This window comes from Homo sapiens, chromosome 10, assembly GCF_000001405.40.
Source record: "Homo sapiens chromosome 10, GRCh38.p14 Primary Assembly".
NCBI lineage: Eukaryota > Metazoa > Chordata > Mammalia > Primates > Hominidae > Homo > Homo sapiens.
The window spans coordinates 103186084-103206575 of NC_000010.11; the positions used below are offsets into that span (position 1 = coordinate 103186084).

General features: G+C 45.0%; 1 protein-coding gene across 34 annotated transcripts in view, besides 9 other annotated features; it reads right to left on the bottom strand.

Annotated features, from left to right (window-relative positions):
• Window positions 1-7189, bottom strand: part of NT5C2 (5'-nucleotidase, cytosolic II) — a 105256-nt gene extending 98067 nt beyond the window's left edge. For 29 of the 34 annotated variants that reach the window (XM_047424854.1, XM_047424852.1, XM_047424856.1 and 26 more), the window contains exon 1: window positions 7153-7189. The gene's annotated coding sequence lies outside the window, so the exon portion shown is untranslated. Of the gene's footprint in view, window positions 1-1041; window positions 1164-6322 lie in introns of those variants that run through there. The other 5 variants (XM_047424845.1, XM_047424847.1, XM_024447901.2 and 2 more) reach the window with 2 other exon arrangements.
• Window positions 325-826: an enhancer, noted in NCBI's record as "H3K4me1 hESC enhancer chr10:104946165-104946666 (GRCh37/hg19 assembly coordinates)". NCBI's record gives its function as "activates a minimal SCP1, AML or CMV promoter by ChIP-STARR-seq in primed H9 embryonic stem cells {active_cell/tissue: H9 hESC(primed)}" and the evidence as "EXISTENCE:reporter gene assay evidence [ECO:0000049][PMID:30033119]".
• Window positions 827-1326: an enhancer, noted in NCBI's record as "H3K4me1 hESC enhancer chr10:104946667-104947166 (GRCh37/hg19 assembly coordinates)". NCBI's record gives its function as "activates a minimal SCP1, AML or CMV promoter by ChIP-STARR-seq in primed H9 embryonic stem cells {active_cell/tissue: H9 hESC(primed)}" and the evidence as "EXISTENCE:reporter gene assay evidence [ECO:0000049][PMID:30033119]".
• Window positions 5930-6618: an enhancer, noted in NCBI's record as "H3K27ac hESC enhancer chr10:104951770-104952458 (GRCh37/hg19 assembly coordinates)". NCBI's record gives its function as "activates a minimal SCP1, AML or CMV promoter by ChIP-STARR-seq in primed H9 embryonic stem cells {active_cell/tissue: H9 hESC(primed)}" and the evidence as "EXISTENCE:reporter gene assay evidence [ECO:0000049][PMID:30033119]".
• Window positions 6619-7305: an enhancer, noted in NCBI's record as "H3K27ac hESC enhancer chr10:104952459-104953145 (GRCh37/hg19 assembly coordinates)". NCBI's record gives its function as "activates a minimal SCP1, AML or CMV promoter by ChIP-STARR-seq in primed H9 embryonic stem cells {active_cell/tissue: H9 hESC(primed)}" and the evidence as "EXISTENCE:reporter gene assay evidence [ECO:0000049][PMID:30033119]".
• Window positions 7004-7283: a silencer, noted in NCBI's record as "silent region_2776". NCBI's record gives its function as "represses an Ori minimal core promoter by ATAC-STARR-seq in GM12878 lymphoblastoid cells {active_cell/tissue: GM12878}" and the evidence as "EXISTENCE:reporter gene assay evidence [ECO:0000049][PMID:35858748]".
• Window positions 11039-11520: a transcriptional cis regulatory region, noted in NCBI's record as "candidate enhancer chr10.3946 targeted for multiplex CRISPR interference". NCBI's record gives its function as "positively regulates NT5C2 gene expression with high confidence in K562 cells {active_cell/tissue: K562}" and the evidence as "EXISTENCE:mutant phenotype evidence [ECO:0000015][PMID:30612741]".
• Window positions 16259-16465: a silencer, noted in NCBI's record as "fragment chr10:104962099-104962305 (GRCh37/hg19 assembly coordinates)". NCBI's record gives its function as "represses an EF-1alpha promoter that drives an FKBP-Casp9 reporter gene in an ReSE screen in K562 erythroleukemia cells {active_cell/tissue: K562}" and the evidence as "EXISTENCE:reporter gene assay evidence [ECO:0000049][PMID:32094911]".
• Window positions 18396-19055: an enhancer, noted in NCBI's record as "OCT4-NANOG-H3K27ac-H3K4me1 hESC enhancer chr10:104964236-104964895 (GRCh37/hg19 assembly coordinates)". NCBI's record gives its function as "activates a minimal SCP1, AML or CMV promoter by ChIP-STARR-seq in naive and primed H9 embryonic stem cells {active_cell/tissue: H9 hESC(naive and primed)}" and the evidence as "EXISTENCE:reporter gene assay evidence [ECO:0000049][PMID:30033119]".
• Window positions 19056-19714: an enhancer, noted in NCBI's record as "OCT4-NANOG-H3K27ac hESC enhancer chr10:104964896-104965554 (GRCh37/hg19 assembly coordinates)". NCBI's record gives its function as "activates a minimal SCP1, AML or CMV promoter by ChIP-STARR-seq in naive and primed H9 embryonic stem cells {active_cell/tissue: H9 hESC(naive and primed)}" and the evidence as "EXISTENCE:reporter gene assay evidence [ECO:0000049][PMID:30033119]".

Below are 20492 nucleotides of genomic sequence, written 5' to 3' on the forward strand. Positions count from 1 at the left end.
GAGAAGTTAGATAATTTGAAGTCACAGAATTATACTGTGGTTAAGAGTACGGATTCTGGAGCCACACTGCCTGCGTTCAAAACCTGGCTCTAACACCAACTAGCTCTACGACTAAGCAAATTATAAGCACTACAGTTTCTTCCATTGCAAAACAGGTAGAGTTGGAACAAGGATGTAAGGTGCTAAGAACAGTGGCTGAGACATGGAAATTGGTCAATATAAACTGTTTATAATGCTTGAGTGCAAGATGTTTGAATACTTGAAGCCTTAGCACAATACAGTACTTGATGTTTGCAGGAATGAGTAATAGGCTTCTACTTTTGGAGTCAAAACCTCATAGCGTCCATTACGTATCAGAGGCTGTAACAATTTCACACATTTATCACGTCAATTAAAGTATCCTAAATATAAGGACAACTATAGCTATAGGTTTGTTTCCTTTCTTCCTGGAAGCTCTCAGACCTAGAGAGAATTAATTCAAGATTTATTTCACCAAACCTACTTCAAAAGTAAACGAGTAATTCAAGGCTTAAAAAAATGGCATTTACTGGCTGGGTGCGGTGGCTCATGCCTGTAATCCCAGCACTTTGGGAGGCCGAGGCGGGCGGATCACAAGGTACAGAGATCGAGACCATCCTGGCTAACACAGTGAAACCCCGTCTCTACTAAAAATACAAAAAAATAGCCAGGCGTGGTGGCACATGCCTGTAATCCCAGCACTAGGGAGGCTGAGGCAGAGGAACAGCTTGAACCCGGGAGATGGAGGCTGCAGTGAGCTGACATGGAGCCACTGCACTCCAGCCTGGGTGACAGAGCAAGACTCCGTCTCAAAAAAAAAAAAAAAAAGGCATTTACTGACCAGATTTGTGAAAGATTCTAATGTTAGGCCAGGGGCGGTGGTTCACGCCTATAATCCCAGCACTCTGGGAGGCTGAGGTGGGCGGATCACCTGAGGTCAGGAGTTCAAGACCAGCCTGGCCAACAGGGCAAAACCTGTCTCTACTAAAAATACAAAAATTAGCTAGGCATGGTGGCGCATACCTGTAATCCCAGCTACTAGGGAGGCTGAGGCAGGAGAATCGCTTAAACCCAGCAGGCGGAAGTTGCAGTACGCTGAGAGCGCACCTCTACACTCCAGCTTGGGCAACACAGAGAGACTCCACCTTAAAAAAATAAAAAAGGCCAGTTGCAGTGGCTCACATCTGTAATCCCAGCACTTTGGGAGGCTGAGGCGGGTAGATTACAAGGTCAGGAGTTCAAGACCAGCTTGGCCAAAATGAAGAAACTCCATCTCTACTAAAAATAAAATAAAATAAAAAATTAGCCAGGTGTAGTGGTGGGCGCCTGTAATCCCAGCTACTCGGGAGATTAAGGCAGAGAATTGCTTGAACCCGGGAGGCAGAGGTTGCAGTGAGCTGAGACTGCACCAATGCACTTCAGCCTGGGGGGCAGAGTGAGAATCCATCTTAAAAAAAAAAAAAAAAAAAAACTTTTAATGTTTACTCTCCAAGCCACAGCTTGGTCTTATTTACACAGCATGATACTGTTAAATGCTTATTAAAATAACTTAAAATTCTTATAATTTTGATACAGAATGTTTGAGCTATTTCAATCTACACACTATTATTCTAGCTGGTTTACTTAGCAGCTCTCAAACAAACTAGATAGAGATACACAAATGCCTAACTAGATTCTAATATGACTGCTATAAAAAGTGTGCAAAATATTTTTCAAGGATAGTCAAATACATGTACTACTCATCTTTAAAGGCAAATGAGACAAAATAATGTAGAAGAGCAGAAATCTGTAAAATATTTACACTAAAATGAATTCAAAAATTTCATTTTCTACAATATTCTGACCCAAAATCAGAGCATAACAAAAGCATGTCCTGTCCTTATGAATTTATAGAGCATAATTTTATGACAAACATAATGGTAGAAAAAGAATATGTAACACAAATACTAGCTGATCATATTAAAGATAAAATAGGGCGGACGCGGTGGCTCACGCCTGTAATCCCAATGCTTTGGGAGGCCGAGGCAGGTGGATCACGAGGTCAGGAGTTCGAGACCAGCCTGGCCAACATAGCGAAACCCCCATCTCCACTAAAAATACAAAAAAATTAGCCAGGCATGGTGGCGGGCGCCTGTAATCCCAGCTACTCGGGAGGCTGAGCCAGACGAATCACTTGAACCCAGGAGGTGGAAGTTGCAGTAAGCAGAGATCACGCCATTGCACTCCAGCCCAGGCGACAGTGCAAAAATCAAAAATGAATAAATAAATAAAAAATAAAGATAAACTAAGCAGAAAAAAATACGCACTGTCAATAAACCTAAATGTGAAAAAGCAAAACCATACAATTTACAGAAGAATATAGAGATGAACAGCCTTACGGATCAAAGGTAGGGAAGACTTTCTTGCATAAAAGACAAAAAATGCAAAACATTTTGGGATTCACTTTCCCCATCTGTCAAATGAAGGCATTGAACGTGGAAGACTCTCAAGTTCCCTTCCAGATGTAGAAACAGATTTATGGGTCCAGATTCTGTAGAGGTCACAGTGTTTTTTACAATTTTTTACGATCAGTTGCCCACATTTATAAATCAGAAAATTCTGTATAACATACGAATTTGGGCTGGGCGCAGTGGCTTATGCCTATAATCCCAGCACTTCGGGAGGCTGAGGTGGGCAGGTCACCTGAGGTCAGGAGTTTGAAACCAGCCTGGCCAACATGGTGAAACCCCATCTCTACCGAAAACACAAAAATTAGCCGGGCACAGTGTCACATGCCTGTATTCTCAGCATGCCTGTAGTACTCGGGAGGCAGAGGCAGGAGAATTGCTTGAACCCAGGAGGTAGAGGTTGCAGTGAGCTGAGATCGAGCCAGCCTGGGCAACAAAGTGAGACTCCGTCTCGGAAAAAAAAAAAGAGTGTGGGATGAAAGAGCCTGCTTGTACTATGTGCTTGGAAAGAGAAGACTGAAATCTGATGCCTGAAATTTAACGGCTTAAAAAAAAAAATCAGTAAGCTTGCTGAGTATTAGCATGTTTTCATTACAGATGCCCAGTGGGATATATATTTTTATAGGCTCATTAGTTTAATGGAGTTTCTTTAATGTTTTATTTTAGGTTCATCTTAAAATACTGTGAAATATTTCAAACACACAGAAAATAATATAATGATCATTTGATATGTCTACTACCCACCTTCTTTATCAAATTTTAACAATTAAAATTAAGGGCCGGGCGTGGTAGCTCACGCCTGTAATCGCAGCACTTTGGGAGGCCAAGGCGGACGGATCATGAGGTAAAGAGATTGAGACCATCCTGGCCAACATGGTGAAACCCCATCTCTACTAAAAATACAAAAATTAGCTGGGCGTGGTGGCACACGCCTTTAGTCCTAGCTACTCGGTAGGCTGAGGCAGGAGAATCGCTTGAACCCAGGAAGCGGAGGCTGCAGTGAGCCGAGATCGCACCACTGCACTACAGCCTGGCGACAGAGCGAGACTCCATCTCAAAAAAAAAAACGAAAAAAAAAACAAAGATTAAGACTGTCATAATTTTTTTAACTTTTTTCTTTTACTGTTTACTGAATTTTTTTTTTTTGAGATGCTCTGTCGCCCAAGCTGGAGTGCAGTGGCACGATATAGGCTCACTGCAACCTCTGCCTCCCAGGTTCAAGCGATTCTCGTGTCTCAGCCTCCTGAGTAGCTGGGACTACAGGTGGGCGCCATCACGCCCAGCTAATTTTTTATATTTTTAGTAGAGACGGGGTTTCACCATGTTGGCCAGGCTGGTCTCGAACTCCTGACCTCAGGTGATCCACCTGCCTCGACCTCCCAAAGTGCTGGGATTACAGGCGTGAGCCACCGCACCTGGCCGGTTTGCCGCATTAATTTTGTGGCTTTCTTTTTTTTTTTTTTTTTTTTTGAGACAGAGTTTCACTCTTGTCACCCAGGCTGGAGTGCGTGGCGCAATCTCAGCTCACTGCAACCTCCGCCTCCTGGGTTCAAGCGATTCTCCTGCCTCAGCCTCCCAAGTAGCTGGGATTACAGGCATGCGCTACCACGCCTGATTAATTTTTGTATTTTTAGTAGAGATGGGGTTTCACCATGTTGGCCAGGCTGGTCTCAAACTCCTGACCTCAGGTGGTCATTCACTCCGCTCTAATTGCAAAGAATCCATGTAGCATACTTGTAAACTGCTTACCAGAATTTCTCTTTCCAGTTTTATCTCAGACTACTGCTCTACCAAACCCTTTTAGTGAGAACAATCTATTAATCATACCCTCAATACATCCACTTCAGCATCTTCTCCCTACTCTGAAGTGTTACTGTTTTTCCTGATCCCACCAAGCTACATTAATATTCCTTCACTCTGAGCAAAAAAAACTAACATTTATAGAGAACTTAATGTGTGCCAGTATCACTTCAACTGAATTATTCTATTTAATCCACATAACTCTGTAAAATTTGTTCTATTTTTCCCTTCTCAAGGTGAGAGAAACTGAGTGAGCTTGTCTAAGGTTAACTGAGTTCCCCGAGGTTGCATGATGTTAAGTAGCAAGCCAGACTACAAAATCCGGGCCCTTAAATAAATGCAATGTCTCCTGGCTGAAAGTATGACTGCCTTTACTGCTCACGTCACTCAACATATGCCTTGTGATAGTTAGTATTTTGTGTTAAATGTCTAAAAACCTCAAAACATTACAACACTTATTCAACAAAAATTTACTAAGAGCCTGTGTGCCAGGCATTGTTGACTACCGGGGCACATTAGAGAGCATCTACTAATGAAGATTAGATGAATTCTCTAAATACATGGACATCCCAGAAATATTGGTAAGAGCAAAATCCCAAATAATATGTACACAGCAAGTGTACTAGATAAAAACCAGTCTATGTAAGTACTTTAAAAGAGCACAGTCATAACATGACAAAGTTGTGGGTTTTTGTTTTTGGGGATTTGTTGTTATTTACTATTTCACTGAATTAAGCTTTTGGTAAGAGAATTAAGCAACAGGGTCGGACGCAGTGGCTCAAGCCTGTAATCCCAGTACTTGGGAGGCCGAGGCGGGCAGATCACCTGAGGTCAGGAGTTCGAGACCAGCCTGACCAACTTGGAGAAACCCCGTCTCTACAAAATTAGCCAGGCGTGGTGGCGCATGCCTGTAATCCCAGCTACTCGGGAGGCCGAGGCAGGAGAACTGCTTGAACCCGGGAGGTGGAGGTTGCAATGAGCCAAGATCATGCCATTGCACTCCAGCCTGGCCAACAAGAGCAAAGCTCCGTCTCAAAAAAAAAAAAAAAAGAGAGAGAGAGGAAATACTTAAAAAAAAAAACCTGTGTTTTATGTACTCCTCTTTCCCCATAAAACAGGAGAAATAGCCTAGAGAAAGATTAATGAGCACCTCTGTGCCTAACATTCTATTGTAATCTGGCTTTCTTTAGGAAGATGTGATGTCTTCTGGTTAAGGGTGGCAGGTACTATAAGGGAATACTATCTATATAAATCTTCTTACAATTACAAACTTCTGAAAACTTGTAGCTGATGGTAAATTTTCATACAATGGCATCAAACCTTTGAACTGAAAGGAATCTTGCATAACATCTCCTTCAGAACCCCCCCCACTCCACCCCGCGCCCCTCCACCTTATTTTACAGATTTGTTGGTTACTAAATCCTAAAACCTTAATTCTGGGTCAATGAGAGTAATGCAGCTACCTATACTGTTGAAATGTAGTGGTTTACACTGCAATGGAAATGCACTTCAGAAATAAGTCTGTGTATGCTAGTATCAACCCTGCATGTGGAGTTTTTATTTTAATTACTAACCAGCTATGTTTTCTTGAACTTAACCTTTTTTGTTCTTTTTTTTTTTTCCACTCTCAGCTCACACCTATTTTTTTTCTCTTTTCGAACTTCACCCTTTCAGGCCTGGATGTCTTCATCTGGATAAATTCTAACCGTTGTTGAAAAGCCATGTGGTAAATATTTTTGAAACCTAAAGCCTTCTCTACGCAATAACACTAAGTTTTCATGGTAAATGACACAGTTTCAATATTCTCCCTTTCACATTATGGTCAGTAGTTTGCATTCGTTGCTTGAAGAGGCGAAATGAATAGTCTACAGACACTGGGAACCAAGTACAGCTCAATCCTGAAGAACTCATCGGCCCCTGGACGGGCGCGCACACACCCCCCTGTAATGGTGACTAGTCATTTCGGGGCGCTGTACTTCAGAGCACGACCCCCCTCAAACATCAAGGCCCTAAAGGTGAAAGCCCAGGAAAACGTCGATTCGGACAGCAGCCTCTACCTGCTGCTTTTAGAAGCTGTGGCCTGCCGGAGTCAAACCCCCAAAACGTTTTTCTTAAACTAAGGGTTCAGGCCTCAGATCGGCATCTCGCCCTCTCCGATTTCAGGAGCCCCGAAAAAAGGAGAAGAATAGGCCGCCACTGAACGGCTCAGCCCCCTGACCAGGAGCTGTCCGGATGTTTTTTGTGGCGGCTTGCAATTCGCTGTGACCTTTCCAGGAAGTGTTGCACACGGGCGTGTGGCAAACGAGCTGGCCGTTTCTCGCGGTCCTGCTAAAACGCTGTCAACCTGGCGCTCCACCAGAGGCCCCTTGGCTTCTCGGGAGGCGACCGAGGAGCTCTGGGGGCGGGGAGGCTTTTACAAGAAGCGAAAAGACGGCCTCAGGGGTGGCCGGGAACAGCCTGGAATCAGCTGGAGGACGTCAGCAGGACTGAGGAAAGGGCTACCACCAGCGTGAGGAAAGGGGGGAAGAGGGCGGAACGCGGCGAACGGCCGCGCTGGGAGGCTGAGGCGGGGTCCCAGCGAGCCGGCGGCTGGGAAACAATGGCGCGAGCGTGACGTGGGCCGGAGGCGTCGCGGCGGCGCGGAGGAAGGGGCTGCCGTGGGGCGGGGGCCGCACCGAGGGAGTTGGGAGGCGTGCGGCGTCCGCGAGCGCGCTGGCGGGGACTCGGCCTAAGGAGAGGGGCCTTGGGGCCATGGTCCCTGGGGGCCGGGGGCGGGGGCAGGCGGCGGCCGCTACCCTGGGGTCGCGTGTTCGGCCGCGCACCTCCCCACCTAGCTCCCCGTTCGCCCGCTCCTTCCCCGCCCGCCCACGGGGCCCGCCGCACTCACCGGCTCCAGCGCACCGCAACAATCCCAGCGCGCAACTGCCGCAGCCGCCTCAACGCGCGCCCTCCCCGCCCCCGCCGCCCGGCACCGCCCCGCGCCGCCCCTCTGCTCGCGCCCGGCCAGGGACCGGCGCGCTGTTCCGTCCCCCAGCTCCGCCGCAGAGTTCGGCGAAGCCGACGCTCCCTGACCGCGCTGCGTCTGTCTGTCCCGCGGGTCTGGAGATCTTCAAACGATGGAACACCGGCTTTGCCCTTCTGAGGGTCTCCATCCCTTGGCATTCTGCCTGCGCCCCTCAGCCTGGCCCTGGGCTAACCTCTCCACTGTGTCTCATTCAGAAGAAGCTTTTCCTTGGGAGGAGAGGGCATCCTTTTTCCCAGTCACAGAATGTTTTGGTCTAATGGACCTCAAGGCCCCTCATGCGTCCACACCCCCATGGCACCCTCGAATCCCCTTGATGGCTAAAAACACCAGCTTTGAAGTTTGTCAGAACGAGTTCCAGTCCCAGTACCACCACTTACAAACTGTAACCTCGGGCGAGGTACCTGACCTCCTATACCTGGTGCCCACATTTGTAGCACCAGGATAGGGAACAACAGTCCCCACATCAAAGGGTGTTGACGGGATGAAATCACACAATATAGGTGAGGCCCTCAGCAGGATCCTGGCACACAGTAAGCACTCAATAAATGTTCACCCCACCACCAGCAACTCAGCAGGAAGACTCCGCAAAAGCAGCTAGCTATTTCCAGAGGACTGAATTCCTTGGTCCGAGCAGCTCTCACCAGTGAGAAAATGTGTCTAAACTTCCACTCTCAGGGCCGAAATTCGATGCCTTGGAGCCACAGAGAACAAACGTCTAATCTCTCCTGGACCTTTGACTTTTCAGATACTTTACTTCTATCACCTCTGCCCAAGGTCTTCTCATTCCACATCAGTGTCTCCCGTTCCTTCCATTGTTCCTCCTCTGCCCTGGTTTTGAGGGTCTTTATCCCTCTCACGCAAATGGTAGATTTGACTGTGATTTCTTTAGAATACATCACCCAAGACTGAACCAAATGTTTGTGGTATCATCAGAGCAAAGCAGGACTATAGCTTCCTCCTTTTGGGACCTATCGCTTTGCACTCCTGCGATAAAGTTCTTGGCACCCATACTGTTGACTCATATTGGGCTTGCAGTCAACCAAAACCTCCGCGTCTTTTTAATAAGTGCTCCGCCAGAGCACTTCTACCCCTTCTTGTGCTTCTCAGCCAACTTCGCTTCAGGTCAGCTAAGGATAGACCTTGGGCCCCTCACCTTCTAAATTTCTCAGGATATATGGAAAAGAGGAATAGGGGTTGGAAGCTGGCATAACACAATCTTTAAACCAAGTGCATTTGAAAAAAGGCCAGGGTGGCGGGGCGTGGTAGCTCACACCTGTAATCCCATCACTTTGGGAAGCCAAGGCAGGTGGATCATTTGAGGTCAGGAGTTCAAGACCAGCCTGACCAACATGGCGAAACCCCATCTCTACTAAAAATACAAAAATTAGCTGGGCATGGTGGCACGCACCTGTAGTCCCAGCTACTCGGGAGGCTGAGGCAGGAGAATCGCTTGAACCCGGAAGGCGGAGGTTGCAGTGAGCCAAGATCACGCCACTGAACTCCAGCCTGGGCGACAGAGGGAGACTCCATCTCCAAAAAAAAAAAAAAAGAAGAAACGAAAAAAGGCCAGGGTTTGTGTCTAAACACTATGGTACTGAGAGAAAAACAAATATAGAGACACACACAAATGAATGTGATCACAACTGTGAAAAAAAACTGCACACGCAAAAGACTACAGGGAAATATGTAATTGATTATGTTGTTTTCTCTCAGTGATAAGATGGGGTGGTTTCTTCTTTGTACTTTTGTATTAATTTCTTACGGTGTTTGTATTACTTTTATAATCAAGAACTTTGTTTTAAAAAATAAATCAGAAAAAAGAATTTAAAAAATCAGAGAGATGGAATAACTTGAAAAAAACTGAAAACAAAGTTAAAAGATAACAGAATAAGGGGAAAACTATTCGCAATACACAAAAGACAAAGGATTTGTCTATAAAGGACTCTTAACAAATCAATAATAAAAAGAATGAGGCCGGGCGCGGTGGCTCACGCCTGTAATCCCAGCCCTTTGGGAGGCCGAGGCGGGCAGATCACGAGGTCAGGAGATTGAGACCATCCTGGCTAACGTGGTGAAACCCTGTCTCTACTAAAAACACAAAAAATTAGCTGGACGTGGTGGCAGGCGCCTATAGTCCCAGCTACTCAGGAGGCTGAGGCAGGAGAATGGCGTGAACCCGGGAGGCGGAGCTTGCAGTGAGCCGAGATCCCGCCACTGCACTCCAGCCTGGGCGACAGAGCGAGACTCCGTCTCAAAAAAAAAAAAAAAAAAAAAAAAAAAGAATTGATATGTAATCTCAGCACTTTGGGAGGCCAAGGCTGGCATATCATGAGGTCAGGAGTTCAAGACCAGTCTGACCAATATGGTGAAACCTTGTCTCTACTAAAAATACAAAAATTAGCCAGGTGTGGTGGCGCACACCTGTAATCTCAGCTACTCAGGAGGCTGAGGCAGGAGAATCGCCTGAACCCAGGAGGCAGAGGTTGCAGTGAGCCGAGATTGCACCACTGCATTCCAGCCTGGGTGACAGAGTGAAACTTTGTCTTTAAAAAAAAAAAAAGAGAGAGAGAAAGAAAATTTAGAATCAGCTAAATGCCCACCAATGGGGGGTGGCTAACTAAAATGTAGAATATTTATATAATAAAATTCTATAGAGAATTTAAATGAAGCATGGGCAACATAGTGAGACCTCATTTCTACAAACAGTTTTTAAAAATCAGCCGGGCGTGGTGGCTCCAGCATGTAGTTGCAACTGCTACTCAGGAGGCTGAGGTGGGAGGATCACTTGAGCCCAGGAGGTCAAGGCCGCAGTAAGCTGTGATCGTGCCACTGCACTCAAGCCTGGGTGACAGAGAAAGACCCTGTCTCCAAAAATAATAATAATAAAAAATAAAAGAAGTGACTTTGATCTGCATGAATCAACATGGATATATCTTAGTCATATTTTTGAATGAAAATAGGAAGTTGCAGAATTATTTATCTATATCTATCTATTATATATAGATAGATGGATAGTATCAATATTTAAAAAATTATTCCCCCAATGCAAAACTTCAGTTAATCATGAAAAAACATCAAATAAACCCACATTGAGGGAATATTCTACAAAATACTTGATGTGTAATCTTCAAAATTGTCAAGGTTGTGAAAGTCAAGGAAAGACTGAGAAACTGTCAGAGATTGTCGTATTCACAGATAGGAGACTAAAGAGATCTGATAACTAAACGCAATGTGGTATCCTGGAACACAAAAAGGACATTAGTGAAAAAACTGGTGAAACTGGAATAAGGTCTGAACTGGAATAAGGTCTGTAGTTCTGTTATTAGTATTGTGCTACTGTTAATTTCTTAGTTTTGAACCAGGGTTACATAAATTGTTAACATTAAGAGAAGCTGGGTGAAGTGTATGTTGAAACTTTCTATACTAGCTCTGCAACTCCTCTGTAAATCTAAAATTATTTCAAAATAAAAAGCTAAAACAGAACACACATAAATAATACCATTATTCCCTATTATCATACATTAGGTTTATGAAAGATTTTTAAAACAGGTCTGTAAAGCTACATGCCCAAAATATATCAGAAGTTCTCTCTAAGCTAGGGATAAAGGACCATTATTTTATTGAGAGAATGTTCAAAGGGAGTATTGGCTTTCCTTTTAATGTTTTGGAAGATAAGTGTAATCATGTATTGCTTTTATAACAAAAAATTAATTCTTTTAAATGCAAAAGGATAGAACAATTTTGCCTCATGACTTTCAAGGGTAAGAAAAGCCATGCCAACTCATGAAACAACCTTCTAACAAAGGGCTGGGAGGCTGAGGAACCATAAAGAGCTTGCTTGAGGTCTCTAACCTGACATTAGCTGAAGAGCCTGGGCACTGCTTGGCAAAAGAGGCCACCCCACTGTGGCCTTGGATGGCCTCTCATCAACTTCCTGCCAGGCACTCATGTGACTGTCCTATCCAATCTGACCTACACTGTTTTCCCCAGAATACCCAGAAACTCTGAGTCACCCAGAATATCAGCAGCATTCACAAGCCACTCATCAGTTTTTCTGCTTCTTGGTAGAAGCTCTCCTCAAAACTACGCATTGAGTGCCTACTATGTGCCTAACACTGACGGATACAGACATGAGTTGCTGCCCTCATGGAGACTGCTGACTACTTGGAAGATGAACGCTAAATAAACAAAAAGTTGCTTTACTACAATTTTGATAAGTGCTATGCAGGAAAAGTAAAAGATGCTATGAGGGAGAACAAAATGGAGTTTAGAGTTAGGATCGGGTGAGGGTCAGGAAACAGTTCCCTGAGGAAATGACATCTCAGCTGAGATCTGAAGGGTGAGTAGGACTCAGGTGAAAAAGTGAGAGGGCCGGGTGCAGTGGCTCATACCTGTAATCCCAGCACTTTGGGAGGTTGAGACAGGAGGATCGCTTGAGCCCAGGAGTTTAAGACCAGCCTGGAGAACGTAGCAAGACCCCATCTCTACAAAAAAAAAATTTTTTTTAATTAGCCCAGCATGGTGGCACATACCTATAGTCCTAGCTACTTGGGAGGCTGAAGCAGGAGGGTCACTTGAGCCCAGGAGTTTGAGGTTTCAGTGAGCTATGACCGGACCACTGCACTCCTGCCTGAGTGACAGAACAACACCCTGTTTCAAAAAAGGAAAGAAAGAGAGAGAGAAAGAGAGGAATAAAGAGAGGGAGAGGAAGGAAGGAAGGGAGTGAGGGAGGCAAAAGTGAGGGGGAACTTGTTTGCAAGAGTGAAAGAGAAAACAGCTGGTGCTAGAGATGAGTCTTGTGTATCTAAGGAATAACCCAAGCCTAAAGAAAAAGGGAGAAAGCCCTGGAGGGAGGCAAGGTCAGACCTGGCAGGGCACTGCAGACCACGTTAATGAACAGGGGCCCCAACCTTAAGTGCAATGGAGAGTAACTGACGGGCATCAAGCAGAGTGGCAGGGATCAGATTAGCAGTTTAAATGTAACCAACAACTAACTGCCTCACATAGTCATGAAAATTAATTCATTTGAATTAAGCAAAAATCTCTCAGATGCCTTTTGGAAACTTCCACTGGGTGTCTACAGTGTGAGAGAGACAAGATCTGCGACCTTTATCGCAATTATTTTATTTGTTGAACATCTACCAGATAGTAGACACTGGAGATTCAAATTGATCCCCCACCCACACCTTGTTCCAAAGTTGCTGAACATCTATTAAGGAAATCAGACACTTGGGTAAAAAATGAAGGCAGGTCATTGTAAGCCTCATGCCAGATTAGTGACCCCAAAGATCTTCAGAGTTTCAGAAGAGATGGATTCTCGAGGATATAGGAGAGTTAGAATCAAATACATACACTTCATACGCGTGGATATAGTTTTTTTAATGGAAAATAACATGTGTTGGCAAGGATATGGAGAAATTTGAACCCTCGTGCATTGTTGTCATTCCTCGAAAAAATTAAACAAATGACTCAGCAATTCTGCTGCTAGGTAGATACCCAAAATAATTAAAAATAGGCACTCAAACGGATACTTGTACACAAATATTCGTATCACCATTTTCACAATGCCCAAAAGATGGAAACAACCCAAGTGTCCATCAACACATGAATGGATAAACAAGACATGGTATATACATACAATGGAATATTATTCGGCCATAAAAAGGAATGAAGTTTTGGCTGGGCACTGTGGCTCATGCCTGTAATTGCAGCACTTTGGGAGGCTGAGGCAGGCAGATCACTTGAGGCCAGGAGTTTGAGACAAGCCTGGCCAATATGGCAAAACCCTATCTCTACTAAAAATACAAAAATTAGCTGGGTGCATGCAGTAATCCCAGCTACTAGGGAGGCTGAGGCACAAGAATGGCTTAAATCTGGGAGGTGGAGGTGGCAGTGAGCTGAGATCATGCCACGCACTCCTGCCTGGGTGACAGAGCAACACTCTGTCTCAGAAATAAATAAATAAAGTTTTGATACATGCTACAACTTGGATGAACCTTGAAAACATTACGCAGCCAGGTGTGGTGGCTCACACCTGTAATCCCAGCACTTCGGGAGGCTGAGGCGGGATGACCACTTGAACCCAGGAGGCGGAGGTTGCAGTGAGCCGAGATTGTGCCACTGCACTCAAGCCTGGTGGACAGAGAGAAAAAGAAAAAAAATGCTAAGAGAAATAAGCCAGACACAAAAGGACAAATATTACATGATTCTACTTATATGAAATAGCTAGAATAGGCAAATTCATAGAGACAGAAAGCAGATTAGCAGTCACCAGGGGTTGGGGGAAGAAAGGAGTGGAGAATTATTGCTTAATGGTGACAGAGTTTCTGTTTGGGGTGATGAAAACATTCTGGACATAGACAGTGGTGAGGGTTGCACCACATTGAGAATGTAATTAACGCCACTGAATAGTACTCTTAAAAATGGTTAAAATGGCCTATTTTATGTTATATATATTTTACCACAGTAAAAAAAAAAAAAAATTTAACTTTCCAAAAAAGGAATCAAATACATAAATAGCACTGTTTACTCCATGTTCACCTGACTTCTTCCAAACTTCCATTTTCCAGTTCTTAGAACATCCCAGGTCTCGTTGTCCCTACGTTAAACTGTTTCTCTACCTGAAAGCCTCTTTTCACCTTTCTAACTCATACTCATCTTGAAGGCCTTAACTCAAATGTTTCTCAGAGGCATTCGCTAATCTCCAAGCCAATCTACCTGACATTCCCTCCTGTTATTTTCTTTCATGCTGCCCTGTACCTTCCTTTCCCTTCTCTAACTTACCACAGTTGCAATGAAAGAAATATTTGTGTGATATGTTTTTAATATCTGCCTTCACAATATCGCCTGTAAACTCCAAGAGGGCAGGGACAGTCTGTCTTGTTCACTGAGAGGGAGACAGCACTTAGCCCAGGGTCTGACACACTGGGGGAGTCCCTATATATCTTTTAAATAAATTAATTAGTAACTAAATGACGGTGTGATGGGATTGTGAGTAGAATTTATTTTAATGCCTTTTACGATGCTGTAAATTGGATTAAAGTATTTAAACAAAAGAAGAAGCCAGGCACAGTGGCTTACACCTGTAATCCCAGCACTTTGGGAGGCCAAGGCGGGCGGATCACGAGGTTAGGAGTTCAAGCCCAGCCTGGCCAACATAATGAAACCCCGTCTCTACTAAAAATACAAAAAATTAGCCAGGCGTGGTGGCAGACCCCTGTAATCCCAGCCACTCAGGAGCCTGAGGCAGGAGAATTGCTTGAACCCGGGAGGTGGAGGTTGCAGTGAGTTGAGATGGCCACATTTGCACTCCAGCCCGGGCAACAGTGCGAGACCCCATCTCAAAAAAAAAAAAAAAAAAAAAAGGAAGCAAACTAGGGCTCTCATTTTTGTTGTTGTTGTTGTTGAGATGGAGTCTCGCTCTGTTGCCCAGGCTGGAGTGCAGTGGCCCAATCTCAGCTCACTGCAACCTCCACTTCCTGGGTTCAAGCAATTCTCCTGCCTCAGCCTCCTAAGTAGCTGGGACTACAGGCACACACTACCACGCTTGGCTAATTTTTGTATTTTTAGTAGAGACAGTGTTTCACTATGTTGGCCAGGCTGGTCTCGAACTCCTAACCTCAAGTAATCCACCCACCTTGGCCTCCCAAAGTGCTGGGATTACAGGCGTGAGCCACCAGGCCCAGCCAGCTCTCATTCTTACGTTCCTGCCTCTACCCTGTGAAGCTGCAGCCCTCTCATAGAAGGAACCTGAGCAAATCACTAGTACAGTTTGTTTCCAGGTAGATCTAAAATATCACCAACCATTCCAACCTTAGCCTCTAAATATCCATCTAAATAAGTGGTAAGTTGCCGCACTTAAAATGAAACACCTCTTCCCTGTGCAACCAGAACCCATATCCCTCCACCAGAGCAGTTCAGACCACCTGAGCATTTCACATATTTGGGTTTAGCAGCGCTTATATTAGAACTAAAGCCTCAGGCTGGGCATGGTGGCTCACACCTGTAATCCCAGCACTTTGGGAGGCCAAGGTGGGTGGATCACTTAAGGTCAGGAATTCAAGACCAGCCTGGCTAACATGGTGAAACTCCATCTCTACTAAAAATACAAAAATTAGCTGGGCATGGTGGCATGCTCCTGTAGTCCCAGCTATTCAGGAGGCTGAGGCAGGAGAATCACTTGAACCTGGGAGACGGAGGTTGCAGTAAGCTGAAATCATGAGATCGTGCCACTGCACTCTCACCTGGGCAACAGAGCAAGTGAGACTCTGTCTCAAAACAAACAAACAAACAAAACAAAATAAAACAAAGCAAAAAAAACACCAAAGCCTCAGGTGAACTCATGTCAGAGTGAAAAAGTGCATTTACTTGTCTATTTAAAGAGCCAATTCTTCTGGTATATACAGGTAAGTTTCTACTATTTGTCAGTGAGAGCATTTCCTAATCGATTTAATTTTCTCATCTTGGCATTCCATATCTACCTCAGTAAACAATTTTCTATGCTAACAAGAAGTCAAACAAACATATAATTATTTTTGAGATAAGAAATGCAAATAAAAGCTGATTTAATGAATTTGTTTTGTGGATGTGGACACTTGTGGAAACTGAAAAAACGTGACAACTCAGGAAGAAGACACAGTTCGCTCACAACAGCTTTTACCTAAACACATTTTAGCCCACATACCATTGATTCTCTCAGACCACAAGCCATTGTCTTCTCTCTGCTTTTACTTTTTTACATTTTACATATAAATTGCATGAACCACTGGGCATGGTGGCTCAAGCCTGTAATCCCAGCACTTTGGGAGGCCGACGTGGGCGGATCACCTGAGGTCAGGAGTTCGAGACCAGCCTGGCCAACATGGCGAAACCCTGTCTCTACAAAAATATAAAAATTAGCTGGGCTTGGTGGTGGGTGCCTGTAATTTCAGCTACTCAGGAGGCTGAGACAGGAGAATCGCTTGAACCTGGGAGGCGGAGGTTGCAGTGAGCCAAGACTGTGCCATTGCACTCCAGCCTGGGCAACAAGAGCAAAACGAAACTCCATCTAAAAAAAAAAAAAAAATTGCATGAACCAGAGAGTGCAAGGCAAACCGGTGACCACAGACATTAGGAAACTGTTGATCACAAGTAACAAGAAACCCAGTTAAAATGGCTTACATAATAAGGAAGTTCAGAGGTATGGTACGCTCTGTGGTAAATATTCAGTAATCAATATTGCCATTAAGGACCAAGTTTCAGCCAGGAGCGCTGGCTCATGCCTGTAATCCAAACACTTTGAAAGGCTGTGGTGGGCAGATGGCTTGAGCCCAGGAGTTCGAGACCAGCCTAGGCAACATGACAAAACTCTGACTCTACAAAAAATGTTTAAGATTAGGTGGGTGTAGTCATGTGTGCCTGTAGTCCCAGCTACTCAGGAGGCTAAAATGGAAGGATCACTTGAGCCTGGGAGGTAGAGGCTGCAGTGAGAGGAGAATATGCCCACTACACTACAGCCTGGGTGGCAGAATGACACCCTTATCTCAAAAAAAAAAAAAAAAACAGGACCAAGTTTTGTCTCTCTGCCCTGTAGTCCTGAAAGTTTGCTTCATCTTACGATGTATAGGATGGCTTCAAGTTTCCTCCTTCATGTCAACAAAGCACAGACACCTCTCCTCCACAACAGTCCTTCCTTTCAACCTAATTGGAATGAATTAGGAAACATGCAGACCCCTCAGACTAAAAGTCATTGCCAAGAAAGGATCATACACCAACAAATTAGATATTGTCCCTGGGGCTGGGGATGGAGAGGATACCTGAGCAAAACTGGAATTTTTCATGGGCAGAAGGAGTGGAGAGTGGATGCTAAGTAGGCAGCCAAGAGTATCCACTACAACTAGCAAAACTGAATATGCCTAAGCCTTGGGTTAAGAGTAGTACTAGAGAAATAGAAAAACAACACACTGGATGTCACATATCCACTAATCTTCTGGTTCTTAAATTTTTTTTTTTTTTTTTTTTGAGACAAGGTCTGGCTCTGTTGCCCAGGCTGGAGTGCAGTGGCACAATCTCGGCTCACTGCAACTTCCGCCTCCTGAGCTCAAGCCATCCTCCCTCCTCAGCCTCCCAAGTAGCTGGGACTACAGGCACACACCACCACACCCGGCTAATTTTGGTATTTTTTGTAGAGATGGGGTTTTGCTATGATGGCCAGCATGGTCTCTAACTCCTGAGCTCAAGTGATCTGCCTGCCTTGGCCTCCCAAAGTGCTGGGATTACAGGTGTAAGCTACCGCGCTAGGCCTGCTCAACTGGTTCTTAACCCTCATGAGGGTTAATTCACCATTAGAGACTGGCTCATGACAGCAGTGATTCTCAGAAACATCAGGAAGCCTATATTCTTGGTGGTGTTCTTTATGTCCTGAGTCTGTCCTTGCAAGAGAGAGAATGGTATGTCTCAGTGGTATAAAGAACCTAGTCCTGCACCTTAGCCATCCTCTGTAGTCCTGGTTCATGCTGTCCCCTTCTTGGATCCCACCCTAGTCCTTCACAGTGATATTGAGCTGAATTTCCCAATTTGGGAAATTTACTTTGGGAGTCTCAGAGCACATTTTGGTATGACAGCTCTATGAGATATTAATAGATGTTACTTAGAAAAAAAGTTCTAGGCCAGGCACTGTGGCTCACACCTGAAAACCCAGCCCTTTGGAAGGCTGAGGCAGGAGTATTGCTTGAGCCCAGAAGTTCAAGACCAGCCTGGGCAACATAGGTAGACCACATATCCACAAAAAATTTTTTTAAAAAGTTAGCTGGCAGCCGGGCATGGTGGCTCATGCCTGTAATCCTAGCACTTTGGGAGGCTAAGGCGGGCTGATCACGAGGTCAGGAGATCAAGACCATCCTGGCCAACATTGTGAAACCCCATCTCTACTAAAAACACAAAAACTAGCTGGGTATGGTGGCACACGCCTGTAGTCCCAGCTACTCGGGAGGCTGAAGCAAGAGAATCACTTGAACCCGGGAGGTGGAGGTTGAAGTGAGCTGAGATCGCACCACTGCACTCCAGCCTGGCGACAGAGTGAAACTCCATCTCAAAAAAAACCCAAAAAAACAAAAAACCAAAAAAAACAGTTAGCTGGCTGTGATGGCTTGTAGCTGTAGTCCCAGCCACTCATGAGGCTAAAGTGGGAGGATCGCTTGAGCCCAGGAGGTCAAGGCTGCAGTGAGCCATGATTAAGCCACTGCACTCCAGTCTGGGTGACAGAGTGAGACCTGTCTCAATTTAAAAAAAAAAGAAAGGAAAGAAAAAAAGAAAGAAAGAAAAAAGTTCCATGCTTGCTGAAAACTTGAAAGACCTACTTAAACATTTAGCACTCAAAAAACTTGGGCATTTATCAGTATAAATTCCTAGATCAGCACATTTACTGCATCTTTTAAAGATTGTAAGGCCTTGTAAGCAAGAAAATGGCTCTGGTGAGATGGGTTTATATAGGGATTTGTAACAGGGATGCACTGTATTTTTTTAATCAGTGGTTCTCAAATTTCATCAGGTATGGTTGCCTGGGGAGTTTTCTAAAAGGCAGATTCCATACCATATCTCAGTCTTACCAATCGTGACTCTCTGGCCTTGGGTCCTAGGAATTCGAAATTTAAACAAATTCCTAAGTAATTCTGATGCAAGTAGTCCCTGTGTTCTCTGAAAATGTTAACTATCTGCCTCACCGGTGCTTGTGACAGCAATCAATGTTGCCATGGTAATAGCCAATCCGAGCCACCCCCTGCTGTCTGCTGCCCAGGCAACATTGACTTCATGTGTCTCTTTCTTGTTTGCTAGCCCAAAGGGCCACTTTGAAAAATAATCTTCTGAGTACTACAGAAACTATACAATTGACCTAAAGAAACTCACTATTGCAGGATCAGGGATTATAAATCCCTATGTCACCTCACCTTCAGAGTATTAGTCTCTTCAGCACCTTTTGTGGCTCCAATTCAGATGTCAGATGCTAGGCATCAATGTTGGTATTTCATTGGCATAAATAGGGTGCAGTCCCTGAAACTCAGACAGTTTTCCAAGCCCACCATGATCTAGGTGTCAGGCCTCTGAGCCCAAGCTAAGCCATCATATCCCCTGTGACTTGCACGTATACATCCAGATGGCCTGAAGCAAGTGAAGAGTCACAAAAGAAGTGAAAATGGCTGGTTCCTACCTTAACTGATGACATTCAACCATTGTGATTTGTTCCTGCCCCACCTTAACTGAGCAATTAACCTTGTGAAATTCCTTCTCCTGGCTCAGAAGCTCCCCCACCGAGCACTTTGTGACCCCCGCCCCTGCCCACAAGAGAAAAACCCCCTTTGACTGTAATTTTCCACTACCCACCCAAATCCTATAAAACTGTCCCACCCCTATCTTCCTTGCTGACTCCTTTTTCGGACTCAGCCCTTCTGCACCCAGGTGAAATAAACAGCCTTGTTGCTCACACAAAGCCTGTTTGGTGGTCTCTTCACACGGACATGCATGACATTTGGTGCCATGACTCAGATTGGGGGACCTCCCTTGGGCGATCAATACCCTGTCCTGCTCTTTGCTCCATGAGAAAGATTCACCTACGACCTCGGGTCCTCAGACCAACCAGCCCAAGGAACATCTCACCAATTTTAAATCAGGTAAGTGGCCTATTTTTACTCTCTTCTCCAACCTCTCTCACTATCCTTCAACCTCTTTCTCCTTTCGATTTTGGCACCACCCTTCAATCTCTCCCTTCTCTTAATTTCAGTTCCTTTCCTTTTCTGGTAGAGACAGAGGAGATGCGTTTTATCTGTGAACCCAAAACTCCAGCTCTGGTCACGGACTCAGGAAGACAGTCTTCTCTTGGTGTTTAATCACTGTGGGGACGCTTACCCACGTTTCAGAGGTGTCTGATCACCAGGGGGATGTCTGGCCTTGATCCTTCACCTTGGTGGCCAGTACCACTTTCACTGGGTGGCAAGCACCACCTCCCCTGGGGGGCAAGTACCCTCCCACCCCTTCTCTCCATGTGTCTACTCTCTCTTTTCTCTGGGCTTGCCTCCTTCACTATGGGCAACCTTCCACCCTCCATTCCTCCCTCTTCTCCCTTAGCCTGTGTTCTCAAGAACTTAAAACCTCTTCAGCTCACACCTGACCTAAAACCTAAATGCCTTATTTTCTTCTGCAACACTGCTTGGCCCCAATACAAACTTGAT